This window comes from Homo sapiens, chromosome 5 (genome assembly GCF_000001405.40).
Source record: "Homo sapiens chromosome 5, GRCh38.p14 Primary Assembly".
Lineage (NCBI taxonomy): Eukaryota > Metazoa > Chordata > Mammalia > Primates > Hominidae > Homo > Homo sapiens.
This window is the reverse complement of record NC_000005.10, coordinates 113,495,914-113,511,785: the sequence shown is the minus strand read 5'-3', so window position 1 is coordinate 113,511,785 and position 15,872 is coordinate 113,495,914.

Here is a 15,872-nt window from a genome sequence, read left to right as displayed (position 1 = left end):
CTCCATCCCTTTCTCTCTTGTTCAGCCAGGTCATTTAGGGGTTATTATTTGGGGAAATATTGTCTTAAGTTGGTTTCGGTTCTCTGGAACTGGAAAAAGTCACATAGTAATACACCAGTAAGTTGCCAAAAAGGATCCTGAGCCCTGCTTCTCTTGGGGAGAACAAAACAAAAACCCTGAATGGTGTGGGAGATCCTGGAACAGAATGGCCTGTGCTACTTTCCCAAGGGAAGGCCAGAGAGGCAGCTCAGGAAAGAAGGTAGTGTGGTGTGCCTAGGCAGGTGAGGCGCAGTGTGGTATAGAGCAGCAAAGGGTTCCTGGTGCCCAAGAGGTGTCCAGAATTGGCAGAGATATGCCAGACCTGAAGGAATCGCACAGTTGAGAATAAGCAATGAATGACTTAACGGTGACTTATGTTGTTTGACCACCAAGGATCAGAAACTCTTTCCCACACTTACTGATGCCTTGATACTCCGTAAGTCCCCCAGAACTTAAAAGCAAGCCTAGGCAAGAGTGGCAGCCCCTGAATTAACTGAGGTTAATTACAGAGAAACTAAGTTCTTTCATATCTAAATCTATGGAATAAAATTTGTACTTAAGTAATTGTAAAACTACTTCCAGCGCTATCATTTTATATACATATCATAATATAGATGCCAAAAATTGGTATTTTTCTATACCCTGTATATGTGTCTACCTGTCTACACATTAATCAGCTTCAATGTATATTAATATGGTTAGCCACAAGGTGACACTAGAAAGCTATCTTTTGCTTATGGTTCTAGGTCTTGACCGTCATTGATTTTCATAAACGGCTTCTATGAAGTATTGTATTAACAGTAGTAATCCCTTCCAGGGACATTTTCATTTTAATAAGGGAGATGGCAGCAATGAGGTTAATAGGAGGCAATGTTCATATTTTAAAATAATAAAAATAAGACTCTCTGGAACAGGCTATCAACTAGTTTTTATTCTTGCTCTTCTTACCCACTCTCATGTGATAGGATATCCCAATCACTACAAAAAATATCAAACACTAATTTATTCAACATCCATAAATAAAAAATGTAAATAGAAATAGTCTGTTAGATCTTGGAGCTTAAAATTTAAATGACTGTTTTTACAGAATGTGCCTCAAAAACGTCTAGAACATCCTTAAACCATCTCCCAAACACTAAAAGCTCAGTCCAAAAATGTGAACACAGTAGGTCAGCAAATACATTGTGTAACTCACTGAGCAATTGCTATCTTATGTTGGGGATGACTGAGAAGAGGAGGAAAACCATCTCTTCCAGGACGTCTTGCTTATTTGATTTATAAAGGAGATGCAATTTAAAGGATTGCTTAGGAAAATAGGAAGAAAAGGTTTGGAAAAGCTCACAGGGAAGAACTTTTTTTTTTTTTTGAAACAGAGTCTTGCTCTGTTGCCCAGGCTGGAGTGCAGTGGTGCCATCACAGCTCACTGCAAGCTCCATCTCCTGGGTTCATGCCATTCTCCTGCCTCAGCCTCCCAAGCAACAAGGACTACAGGTGCCTGCCACCACATCCAGCTAATTTTTTTGTATTTTTAGTAAAGACAGGGTTTCACTGTGTTAGCCAGGATGGTCTCGATCTCCTGACCTTGTGATCCACCAGCCTCGGCCTCCCAAAGTGCTGGTATTACAGGCATGAACCACCACGCCCAGCCCACGGGAAAGAATTTTCTAAGCAAAGGAGTAGTATATAAGAGAAAGTAGCATGTCACAATCTCGAAAGCCCCTCATTGAGAACATGGAAAGGCAGGTTGAAGGGACCAAAGAAGAAAGCAGTGACACTAAATGATCAATGTGGATCTAGTCTATGGTCAGATAGCAGAGGAAATTTACCTACTGGGAAGTGGAACCATTGCATGGTTTTGAAGACAGGAGGGATATAAATTTGTCCGTTGGCATATGTCCTTATGGAATTTTAAGGAAACCATGCCCTTGGGATGCATCAAGAGTAGGATTTTAAAAATCAAGAGTAGAAATGATGACACTTTAAAGAATTTAACTGTAGTAGTAAAAAGAATCAGGTGAGAATTTATGAGAGGACGCTGCAGAACTGGGAGAATGAAGACCCCTAAGTTTCTCCTTCAGGAGACTTTTAAGAAGAACTCAGAGACGAAGAGGGAGAGTCTATTCATGGAGTTGTCTCCTGGGACCCTCTGAAGAGAACATCAAAAACCCACTGAAAACAAAAAGATTATTGCTAAATATTTAATGTTTCTGTTTTATGAAAGGATTCAGTTTTTAAACCATAGGCAAAATTTACCCATGCAGATAGCTAAAGAGGAATTGAATACATTTTTCCGTTGCTTGACAGTGTATTCATATCCCACAAAATAAGGATTTTATTTTCCCCAGGGCACACTTAGTATTTCGTAAATATAGTACTTTATTTCTTACTGATATTTTTCTTCAAAATATTCACAAGCAAAATTGTGGTAATCACTGAATTGTTGTGATGGTTATACTGGTCTTCTTTATACTATTCTTTTTACTTTGGGGTATGTTTGAAAATGTTGACAATTTTTTAAAAAAATCGTTAAGAGTCTTTCTAGCCCCAAACTGTATCAAGTTAGTAAACCTACTTACGCATTTGGGATAGGTTAAGAAAGAAGTGTTCTTTCAGGACATGCAACTACCTGGTTTGATTGGATCATCCAAAAGTAGTCAACTCCAGCAACAGCAACAAAGAAAAACCAGACTGGCATTTGGTCAGGGAGGAATACTGTTCAGGAATACTCCCTTGGCAGATGTTTTGGGGACATTTCTTTCATGTTTAATTTGGCAAATTGACTCACAACTAACACTGAAAAGGAAAGAGACCACATGATTAAAAGAAGATTATATTAGTCACCTCAGGCTGCCATGACAAAATACCATAGACTGGGTGGCTTAAAACAACAGAAATTTATTTTCAGCAGTTCTGAGGGCTGAAAAGTCCAAGACCAAAGTCTGGGAAAGTTCATTTTCTATAGAGAGCCCTTTTCCTGGCTTGCAGATGGCTGCCCACTTGCTGTGTGCTTACATGGCCTTTTCTTAGTGCTTGCACTCAGACAGCTTACTCTCTCATGTCTTCTCTTAAAAGGGCACCAATCCTGTCTTGAGTGTCCCGCACACTCAAGTGTCTCAACTTGAGTCTCTCAACTAGCACTAATTACCTTCCCATGCTCAAGTACCTTCACATTGGAGGTTAGGTCTTTAATATATGAATTAGGGGGGTGGGGACACAAACATTCATAACAGAGATGTCAGGGACTTCAGAGTTATGTGCTAAGATGCATGTGGACACCACCTGACTCAAGTCTCCCCAATCTATTCCCCAAACTTAATCCCATCATCTTCCCTTCCCTGTAATGACTGGTCCATCACACAGGGTAATGGGGCCCCAAGAGGTGCACTGGAGTCACATTGATGCCTCCACACTCTTCTTCAGCCCCTTCCTCTCCTCTGGCCCATAAGACCTATTTAACAGACTGTTCCCACAAAGTTTTCAGTCAATACTAAGGACTGAGTAGTCTTCCAGGGACATTTCCACTTTAACACAGGAGTCTTAAAGAGGAACCTCCAAAATGCAAAGAAATAAAGCTCTTGTAATGTAATTTCTGGAAATGCTATAGCTAGTGAGGAGTTTGCAAATGGGATTCCATCTCATTATGACCTGAATCACTGCATGGAAGTGGCCACTACTCTCTGTTTGTGAGACTAATCCTTGTCAAGACTTAGGTAGCACATGAGCAGAGGATAGTTTTGACTTATTGCTTATTCTCCAAAGTAATGAGCAAGTGAAATTTTAACTATGGCAAATAAATGATAGAATTTTAGAAATAGAAGGAATCTTTGAAATTCAACTGGATCACTTTACAAATGAGGAAGTGAAAGTATACCTTGGCTGGGTGTATTGCCCAATACTGTATAGTTACATGAAGATCAAAGACTAGAATACTTTTTATGACACTATTTCACATCATTGCTCCAGTTCTGCCCCATATCATTAGATATCAAGATCAGCTTCTGGCAGCACACCCTCAGTCTAGACCAGTTAGCAAAGAGGTGGTCAAGCAAGCCACTTCCTCACCAGCAACTCTTTAATTTATGAGACTTAGGCAACCACTTTTGCACATTTCATGCTGTGTTGGGTCTCAAAAATTGGTTTGTGGCTTCCTTTTCAAATAAGTCACATATACTGAATTGCCAACTGTTACCACCCTACCTTTTGTATTAATTCACAAATGTAGGCAACCTCTAGGTAGGTTCAATCTTATTGTCTCCATAACGATCAACACACAACTGATAAAACAAGCACCAGTCTCTTACCTTTGCAGACTCTTGAGAAGGTCCCTGACATTAGAGAGATTTATGGGGTCAATGGACAAATGCTAGATTTAATAAATACTTAAGATACAAAGCCGCTGTATCTATCTCTTGGATCCCTTCTGATTGCCCAGTGTGGAGATCATGGTTCTTGCAACTTCAGGACTTGGCTGCTGAGAGGAGCCAAGAATGTGGAAACAGTGTAGCTCATTTATTGCTTCCATGTTGGTCTGAGATTATGGGAAAAAAGGTACTATCAGTCCATGGTTGGATTAATAACAAGGAAGAGCATTAAAGCTATTTTGAGACTTTTCTTCAAGTTTGCACTTTGGAAAATTTCCAATCTCAAGTAAAGAGAATAGTGGCCGGGTGCGGTGGCTCATGCCTGTAATCCCAGCACTTTGGGACACTGAGGTGGGTGGATCATCTGAGGTCAGGAGTTCAAGACCAGCCTGGCCAACATGGTGAAACCCTGTCTCTACTAAAAATACAATAATTTGTCGGCCATGGTGGCTCATGCCTGTAATCCCAGCTACTCGCGAGGCTGAGGCAGGAGAATCACTTGAACTCGGGCGGTGGAGGTTGCAGTGAGCCGAGATCGTGCCACTACATTCCAGCCTGGGTAGCAAAGCAAGACTCTGTCTCAAAAAAAAAAAAAAAAAAAAGAGGATAATGAATCTCCATGTACCCATCATCTAGCCTCAACAGTCTGCCATCCTTGACCCAGGTGTACCTCCACATGCTTCCCACCCTTACTCAATTATTATCATTTTAAAGTAAAATGTATATACATTGAAATGCACAATTGTTAGCTATACAATTCAGAACTGGATACCCTGTGTAGCCCACACTCCTATTGTCTCCTTTTGGGTATACTTAAAATATATATAAGTCAGTAGATAATGAAATAACTTACAACTTTTCAGCTGTTCTCATTTTCAAATCACGAGGCATTCTTGGGGGTGTTCCTCACTTGAGAAATTCTTCCCTTGTGCCTCCCCTCATCCCATCTCAGCACTGGAAGATCAAGCCACATTTGTCTCTGACACTGTTTGCCTCTGCACATTGACTCCAGATGTCTACCTGACTTCTTAGATTTGAGAATCCAAATGAGATTTCCAATAGTTTATTCACTGGCTCCACCCATCTAAGATAAAAACCCTGCTCCAATCCCCTCCCAGAACTCAGCAGCCTAACTCACTCTGACTGCTTTGCCTGGTAGAGGAGATAAATGAAGCAGGTTAGCCTTCTTGGTCCACCAGGAGAACACCCTGGAAATAAGAAAGAGAATGGGAGGTACAGAAATAAAATGGATTCCTTCCCAATCACCCCAAGTATACTGAATAGAAGGTGAATGAAATAGAGAGAAATAAGGGCAAGTCATTCCTGATCAAAAGTAAGGAAAGAAAAATAAAGCTTCTGAGCTAAGAGTGTCAAGGTGATTGTTCTTGCTATAAGTATCTTTCCCCTAGAGCAGTGCGTGTTAGACAGATACACAACCAGATATACACTGTTTTTATTGTGTCCAGAAAAAATACATGCATAAATGAAAAGGTTTTATGAAACAATATGTGACACTGCAAGTCCTGTGAGGATAACATTCCAAGAGCCCCAGTGGATGCCTAAGACTGAGGATAGTATTGAACCCATATACATTTTGCTTTTTCTATAAATACATACCTATGATAAAGTTTAATTTATAAATCAGACACAGTAAAAGATTAACAGCAATAACTAGTAATAAAATAAAACAACAATAACAGTATACTATTCACAATTTCATGAATAGAAGATTCATTTTTACTGTAGATCTTTGCAACCTCAGCATATGATTTTTGTTTTCATTCCCTAAATTGAGAACTTTTACCTTTTCACTTAAACGAAGCACTTTACCGCTTCACTTTGGCATATCCAAATTGCCAGCATCCCTATTCTTGCACTTTGGGGCCATTATTAAATAAAATAAGGATTGCTTGAACACAAGCACTGTGATACCATGACAGTCGATCTGATAACCTAGACGGCTAAGTGACTAATGGGTGAGTAGTGTATACAATGTGGATACCCTGACAAAGGGAGGATTCACTTCTCAGGCAGGACAGAGCAGGGCAGTGCAAGATTTCATCATCAGAACTGTGCACAATTTAAAACTTACGAATTGTTTATTTCTGTAATTTTCCATTTAAGATTTGTGGACCATGGCTGACCATGGAAAGCAAAACTGCAGATAAGGAAGGAGTATTGTACTAAGTTAAATATATGCAGATATTTTCTGTTTCTCTAGTTCATGTTTTATTTTTCTTCTCTAGTTCATGTTTTTAAAGGCCTGGCTACCACTTACTAAAATAATTTTGCAACTCACTGATGGGTTGCAAACTGCAGTCTGAAAACCACTGCCCTAAAGATTTGGCATAAGATGCTGGAAAGGAGCTCTTTTCTCTGGAGTTCTTGGCCTCACTGTTTCCTTCATTAGAAACCCGTTTGATCCTTCACAAAGTATGGTTGCTCAGTTTAAATCCAAGATACCTATGTTCATTACAAGAGATGATATTTAGCTAGGGATTATGTAAAGTCAACCAACATATAACACCTGACAGGCATAAGACTCCTCTTTATAGCCAGCCCCACCTACTAGAGCTAGGGTAGAGGTGGCTGGAAAGCCTATCATCATGTGAGGTACTGAGAGAGTGATGATGATGCATGTCCCCGCACACACTCAGCCTGCTTCATGTAGTCCCTATTGTGTTTGCCACATCCTTTAGTTCCAAGAAGAAATGCAAGCACATTAAAAATAAGAGGTGCTGTGTACGCAAAGAAAATACCAGGCCCCCTCTCCAGAGATTTGAATCTAAACCCTGTATGGCTAACTTCCTATATCTGAACCCAGAAAGAGAAATAGAAAACATTTAAAAAGGAGGATCTGATGTTATCTGATATCCAGCAATAAATGTCTTAAAAATATCATGATGTACAGCCTTATCCAGTTTTATAATACTAAAAATTATAATGGCTATGTTTCACTGGGCTCTTCCCAGTGGTCCAGTGTGCTTTGCATTATTTCCTGGAATTTAGTAATACCTCTATGAAATAAGTGATACTACTACCCCCATTTTACAAGTGGAAGAGGGAAACAATGAGTATCAGTTGGGGCCCTAAGACCTACAGCAGTGATGGAGATTGTTATTTTTCCCAATAAACTTCCTCTTCTAAGAGTGCCCCTGAGGCCAGGAGCAGTGGCTCACACCTGTAATCTCAGCACTTTGAGAGGCTGAAGTGGAAGGGTCACTTGAGCCCAGGAGTTCGAGACCAATCTGGGCAACATAGCAAGACCCTGTCTCTATTTAAAAAGAAAAGAAAAAAATGAAAATAAAAGAGTGCCCCAGAAAGAGAGGCCCACTGGAATCACAGAGGAGCTGCTTCCCAGACATACACAAAGAAGTGGATTCAAATAGCTCAAGATGAACTGTGATGAACATTAAGGTGCACCACCAAGTTCTCCCTTCAAGAATGGACTTTTTGGGGTAGGTAGAGCATGATGGCTGATTAGAAGCCTTTAGCAATTGTCACCTCCACAGAAACATCAAATTGAACAACTACCTACACAAAAAAAGTAACTTCATAAGAACCAAAAATCAGATGAGTAATTGCAGTAACTGATTTTAACATCATATTAAGGAAACATGCACTGTTAAGAGGAAAAGAAAGACAGTCTTGAATCCCTTACACCACCCCTCCCTCATTGCATGGCAGCAGCTATTTGGTGTGGAGAGAGAATCTGTGTATTTGGAGAAGGGAGAGTGCAGTGATAGTGGGACTTTCTTTCGGAACTCAGTGCTGCCTTGTCACGGGAATGCCTATTTTTTGTGGAAACATGGGGCAGAACTCAGCTAGCATACTTGGAGGGAGCATTTAGATCAACCCTAGCCAGGGGGAATCACCCCTTCCGGCAGTTGGAACCTGAGTTCCAGCTAGCCCCATCACTGCAGGCTAAAGCTCTGGGGCCCTAAATAAATTTGAAAGGCAACATAAGCCACAAGGATGGCAATTCCTGGGCAGATCTTGGTGCTGACCTGGGCTCACAGCCAGTGGACTTGGGTTATACATGACCTAGTGAGACAGTTGGGATGACCAAGGGAGTGCTTGCATCACCCCTCCCCAACCTTAGGAGGCACAGCTCACAGCTTCAAGAGAGACTCCTTCTTGGGGAGAGGAGAGGGAACAGTAAAGAAGACCTTGTCTTGCAACCTCAACACTAGCTCAGCCACAGTAGGGTAGAGCACCAGGCAGAGTTGTGAGGCCCCCTAGCTCCTGGATGACATTTCTAGATATACCCTGGGACAGAAGGGACCTGCTGCCTTGAAGGGAAGTTACCAGTCCTGGCAGGATTCAACACCGGCTGACTAAATCAGCAGTAGTGGCCAGGTTGTACTTGCCATGGGCCTTAGGTGAGACTCAGAACCATGCTGGCTTCAGGTGTGACCCAGCACCTTCCCAGCTGTGGTAGCTAAAGGAGAGACTCCTTTTGTCTGAGGAAAGGAATGGGAATAATAAGAGGACCTTGTCATATAGCTTGGGTACCAGCTCAGCCATAGTGGCATACAGCAAGCAGATACCCAGGGTCCCTGATTCCAAGTCTTGACTCTTGGACAGGATTTTTTGGATGTGCCCTGGGCCAGAGGGAAGCCACTTCCCTGAAGGGAGACACCTAGGCCTGGCAGCATTTATCACAAGCTAACTCAAGAGCCCTTGGGCCGTGAATGAAAACTTGTGGTAGCCAGGCAGTACTCCTTATGGGCCTGGGTGGTGGTGGCCATGGGGAGAGACTCCTCTGCTTGAGGAAAGGGGAGGGAAGAGTAGGAAGGACTTTGTCTTATGACCTGGGTGCCAGCTCAGCTACAGTAGAATAGAGCACCAGGTAGATTCCTAAGGTTCCTGGTTCCAGGCCCTGGTTCACAGATGGCATCTCTGGACCCACCTGGGGCTGAGTGGAACTTGCTGCACTGAAGGACACAAGCCTAGCTGTATTTGCCGCCTACTGACTGTAGAGCCCTTGGGCCTTGAGTGAACATGTGTGGTAGCCAGGCAATGGTCCCTGCGGGCCTTGGGTGAGACCCTGTGCTGTGGGTCTGACCCAGTGCAGTCCCAGTGGTTGTGGCCGCAGTGGTGCTTGTGTCACCTCTCCCTCAGCTCCAGACAGCTCAGCACAGAGACAGACTCTTATTTGTTTGGGGGAAATTAAAGGAAGAAAACAAGACTCTCTGCCTGGTAATCCAAGAATTCTCCTGGATCTTACCCAAGACCACCAAGGCAGTACCTCTGTGAGTCTGCTGTGAGTCTGCAAGAGTCACAGTGCTACTGAGCACTGGGGTGCATCCTAATGCAAATATGGCTGCAGTGACGAAAGACTTAGATAACAACACCAAAATCCCTTTGAATACTTGGAAAGCCTTCCCAAGAACAGGTATAAACCAGCCCAGACTCTGAAGACTACAATAAATGCCTAACTCTTCATTCTCAGATACTGATGAACATCCACAAGCATCATGCAGGAAAACATAACCTCACGAAATTAACTAAATAAGGCACCAAGGACCAGTCCCAGAGAGACAGGGATATGTGACCTTTCAAAAAGAGAATTCACAATAGCTGTTTTGAGGAAGCTCAGCAAAATACAAGGTAACACAGAGAAGGAATTCAGAATCCTATCCGATAAGTTAACAAAGAGATTAAGATAATTAAAAACAAGCAGACATTCTGGAGTTGAAAAAAGCAATTGACATACTGAAGACTATATCAGAGTCTCTTACTAGCAAAATTGATCAAGTAGAAGAAAAAATTAGTGAGCTTGAAGACAGAACTATTTGAAGATACACAGTCCAAGGAGACAAAATAAAAAAGAATAAGAAATGATGGAGAACATTTACAGGATATAGAAAATAGCCTCAAAAGGGAAAATCTAAAAGTTATTGGCCTTAAAGAGAAGGTATAGAAAGAGAGAGAGAGATATTGGGGTAACGAGTTTATTCACAAGGATAATAACAGTGAATTTCCCAAACCTAGAGAAAGATATTAACATTCAAATACAAGAATGTTGTAGAACATCTAGCCGATTTAACCCAAAGAAGACTACCTGAAGGCATTTAATAATTAAACTCCCAAAGGTTAAGGATAAAGAAAGGATCCTAAAAGCAGCAAGAGAAAAGAAACAAATAACATACAATGGAGTCCAATATGTCTGGCAACAGACTTCTCAGTGGACACCTTACAGGCCAGGAGAGAGTGACATGACTGCTGAAGGATAAAAATTGTTGTCCTACAATAGTATATCCAGTAAAACATGAAGGAGAAATAAAGACTCTCTGAGACAAACAGAAGCTGAGGGATTTCATTAAAACACAAAACATGTCCTAGAAGAAACGGTAAAGGGAGTTCTTCAATCTGAAAGAAAAGGATATTAATGAACAATGAGAAATCATCTGAAGTATTACAAAACTCACTGGTAATAGTAAGTACACAGAAAAACAGAATATTAAAACACTGTAATTGTAGTGTGTAAAGTACTCATGTTTTGAGTAGAAAGACTAAAAGATGAACCTATCAGAAATAATAACTATGACTTTTTAAGGCACAGACAGTATAACAAGATATAAATAGAAGCAGCAAAAAAGTTAAAAAGCAGGGGATTAAAGTATAGAGTTTTTATTAGTTTTTGCTTTGCTTATTTGTAAGTTTGTTTATGCAGTCAAAGTTGTCAACAGTTTAAAATAATGGGTTATAAGATATTATTTGCAAGCCTTATGGTAACCTTAAACTGAAAGACATACAGCAGATATACAAAAAGTAAAAGCAAGAAATTAAAATATACCACCAGAGAAAATCACGTGCACTAAAAGGAAGATAGAGAGGAAAGAAAGAAGCTAGACAAGACCAAAATCAACCAGAAAACAAATAATGAAATGGCAGGAGTAAGTCCTTACATATCAATAATAACATTGAATATAAATGGACTAAACCTTCCATTCAAAAGACATAGAGTGGCCAAATGGATAAAAAAAAAAGAAGATCCAATGATCTGTTGCCTACAGGAAACACACTTCACTTATAAAGACACCCATAGACTGAGAATAAATGGATAGAAAAGATATTTCATGCCAATGGAAACAAACAAACAAAAAAAGCAGAAGTAGCTATACTTATATAAGGCAAAATAGATTTCAAGACAAAAACTGTAAGAACACAAAGAAGGTCATTATATTATGACAAGGGGGCCAATTCAGCAAGAGGATACAACAATTGTAAATATATGTACACCCAATACTGGAGCACCCAGATAGATAAAGCAAATACTATTAGAGCTTGAGAGAGAGAGTGTGTGTGTGAGAGAGGGAGAGAGAGACCCAAATACCATAATAGCTAGAGACTTCAACACCCCACTTTTAGGATTGGACAGATCATCTAGACAGAAAATCAACAAAGAAGCATTGGACTTAATCTGCAGTATAGACCAAATGGACCTAATAGATATTTAGAGAACATTTCATCTAATGGCTGCAGAATATACATCCTTCTCCTCACCCCAGGAATCATTCTCATGGATAGACTATATGTTAGGCCACAAAAGTAGTCTTTAAAAATTCATGGATATTAAATTATATCAAATATCTTCTCTGACCACAATGGAATAAAACCAGAAATCAATAACAAGAGGAATTTTGGAAACTATACAAATGATTGGAAATCAAACAATATGCTCTTGAATGATCAGTGGGTCAGTGAATAATTTAAGAAGGACATTTTTAAAATTTCTTGAAACAAATGTAAATGGAAACACAGCATACCAAAACCTGTGGGATACAGGGAAAGTGGTACTAAGAGGAAAGTATATAGCAATAAGCACCTACATCAAAAAACTGGAAAAACTTCAAATAAACAACCTAACAATATATCTTAAAGAGCTAGAAAAGCAAGAGTAAATAAAACCCTAACTTAGTAGAAGAAAATAAATCATAAAGATCAGAGCAGAAATACATGAAACTGAAACAAAAAAAATACAAAAGATCAACAAACAAAAAGTTGGTTTTTTGAAAAGATAAACAACATCAACAAACCTTTAGCCAGACTAAGAAAAAGAGAGAAGACTCAAATAAATAAAATCAGAGATTATTACCAACACTGCAGAAATTCAAAGGCTCATTAGAGGCTACCATGAACAACTATATGCGAAAAAATTGGAAAATGTAGGAGAAATGGATAAATTCCTAGACACATGCAACTGCTAAGATTCAACCATGAAGAAACTGCAAACCTAAGCAAACCAATAACCAACAGGTAATAACATTTAAGCCATAATAAAAAGTCTATCATTAAAGAAAAGCCCAGGACCCAATGGGTTCAGAGCAGAATTGTACCAAACATTTAAAGAACTAATACCAATCCTACACAAACTATTCTGAAAAAAGAAAGAGGAGGGAATACTTCCAAACTCATTCTACAAAGCCAGTATTACTCTGATACCAAAACCAGACAAAGACATCAAAAAAGGAAAACTGCAGGCCAATATCCCTGATGAACATTGATGCAAAAATCCTGAACAAAATACTAGCATATTAAATTCAGCAACACATCAAAAAGTTCATTCATCATGACCAAGCAGTATTTATCCCAAGATGCAAGGATGGTTGAACATTTGCAAGTCAATCAATGTAGTACATCATATCAACAGAATGAAGGACAAAAACCATGTGATCATTTCAACTGATGATGAAAAAGCATTTGATAAAATTCAACATCCTTTTATGATAAAAAAAAAACCTTGAAAAACAGAATAGAAGGAACATACTTCAACATAAGAAAAGCCGTATACAACAGACCCACAGCTAATATCACACTGAATGGAGAATACTGAAAGCCCTTCCTGTAAGATCTGGAACAAAACAAGTATGCCCACTGTCACCACTGTTATTCAACACAGTCCTAGAAGTCCTAGCTAGAGGAATCAGACAAGAGAAAGAAATAAAGGGCATCCAAATTGGAAAGGAAGAAGTCAAATTATCCTTGTTTGCAGATAATATAATCTTGTATTTGGAAAAGCCTAAAGGCTCCACAAAAACCTATTAGAACTGATGAAAAAAATTCAGTAAAGTTGCAGGATACAAAATCAACATACAAAAATCAATAGCATTTCTATATGCCAACAATGAACGATCTGAAAAATAAATTTTAAAAGTAATCCTATATACAATAACTACAAATAAAATACCTAGGAATAAACGTAACCAAAGAAGTGAAGAATCTCTACAATGAAAACTATAAAACATTGAAAAAAGAAATTGAAGACGGCACCAAAAATGGAAAGATATTTCATGTTCATGGATTGGAATAATCAATGTTGTTAAAATGTCCATACTACCCAAAACAATCTACAGATTCAATGCAATCCCTATCACAATACCAATGGCATTCTTCACAGAAATAGAAAAAACAATCCTAAAATATATATGGAACCATAAAAGATCCAGAATAGCCAAAGCTATCCTGGGCAAAAGGAACAAAACTGGATGAATTACATTACCTGACTTCAAAGTATACTACAGAGCTGTAGTAACCAAATAGCATGGTACTAATATAAAAAGAGACATGTAGATCAGTGGAACAGAATCGAGAAGTGAGAAATAAATCCATACATCTACAGTGAACTCAGTTTCGACAAAGATGCCAAGAATATACTTTGGGGAAAAGACAGTCTCTTCAATAAATTGTGCTGGGAAAACTGGATATCCATATGCAGAAGAATGAAACTAGACCCTTATGTTTTACCATATACAAAAATCAAATCAAAATGGCTTACAGACTTAAATCTAAGACCTCCAACTATGAAACTCCTAAAAGAAAATGTTGGGAAACTCTCGAAGACATTGATCTGGGCAAAGATTTATTGAGTAATACCCCACAAGCACAGGCAACCAGAGCAAAAATGGACAAATGGGATCATATCAAATTAAAAGACTTCTGCGTGGCAAAGGAAACAATCAACAAAGGGTAAAGACAATCCACAGAATGGGAGAAAATATGCAAACTAGCCATCTGACAAGAGGTTAATAACCAGAATATATAAGGAGCTCAAACAACTCAATAGGGAAAAAAACTAATGATCCTATTTAAAAATAGCCAAAGGTGTGAATAGATATCTTACAAAAGAAGACATACAAATGGCAAACAGGTATATTAAAAGGTGCTTAACATCACTGATCATCAGAGAAATGCAAATGAAAACTACAATGAGATATCATCTCACCACAGTTAAATGGCTTCTATTCAAAAGACAGGCAATAATGAATGCTGGTGAGAATATAGAGAAAAGGGAACCGTCATACACTTTTGGTGGGAATGTAAATTAGTAAAACTACAATGGAGAACAGCTTGGAAGTTCCTAAAATCAATAAAAATAGAACTACCATATGTTCCAGCAATCCCACTGCTGGGTACATACCCAAAAGAAAGGAAATCAGTATATCAAAGAGATATCTGCACTCCCATGCTTACTATGGCACTAGTCACAATAGCCAAGATTTGGAAGCAATCTAAGTGTCCATCAACAGATAAATGGATAAAGAAAATGTGGTCCATATACACAGTAGAGTGCTATTTAGCCATAAAATAGAATGAGATCCTGTCATATGCAATAATATGGACGGAACATGAATTAACAACATGATGTTAAGTGAAAGATGCCAGGCACAGAAAGACAAACTTCATGTGTTCTCACGTATTTTTGAGAGCTAAATATCAAAACAATTTAATTCATGGAGATAGAGAGCAGAATGATGGTTACCAGAGGCTGGGAAGGATAGTTGGGGGTAGGGTAAGTGGGGATAATTAATGGGTACAAAAATATAGTTAGATAAAATGAATATGATCTAGTATGTGATAGCATAACAGGGTGACTACAATCAGTGATAATTTATTGTATATTTAAAAGTAACTAAAAGAGCATAATTGGATCATTTGTAGCACAAAGAAAGGATAAATGCTTGAAGTTATGGATACCTCATTTACCTTGATGTGATTATTATATATTGTATGCCTGTAACAAAATATGTCATGCACTTCACAAATAAGTAAATAAATCTATATCTACTATCCACCCACAAATAAAAAATAAAAAAAGTAAAATAAACAAATTAATTTAAGAGAAAAAATGGACTTGTTGCCCAGCTGCTAGGAGTGCTCTCAGAAGATAACCTGCAGCTGTCAGTCTATCAGATTTTGTCTCAGCTGCAGTTACCTTACCCACAGTCACAACCTTCCTGGGTCGTGGATCCAGTAGGATGGGGTCCTATATTCAATGGGTGACTGAGGCAGAGGTATATAAGCCGAGCCATTTCATTTCAGTAAAGGACAGTCTGATATTGTTAGGCAGAATAATACCTTCTCCCAAATATAACCACAGTCTGATCCCTGGAACCTGTGAGTATATTATATTATGTGGCAATGGAGAATTAAGGCTATTGATAGAATTATGGTTGCTAATCAGCT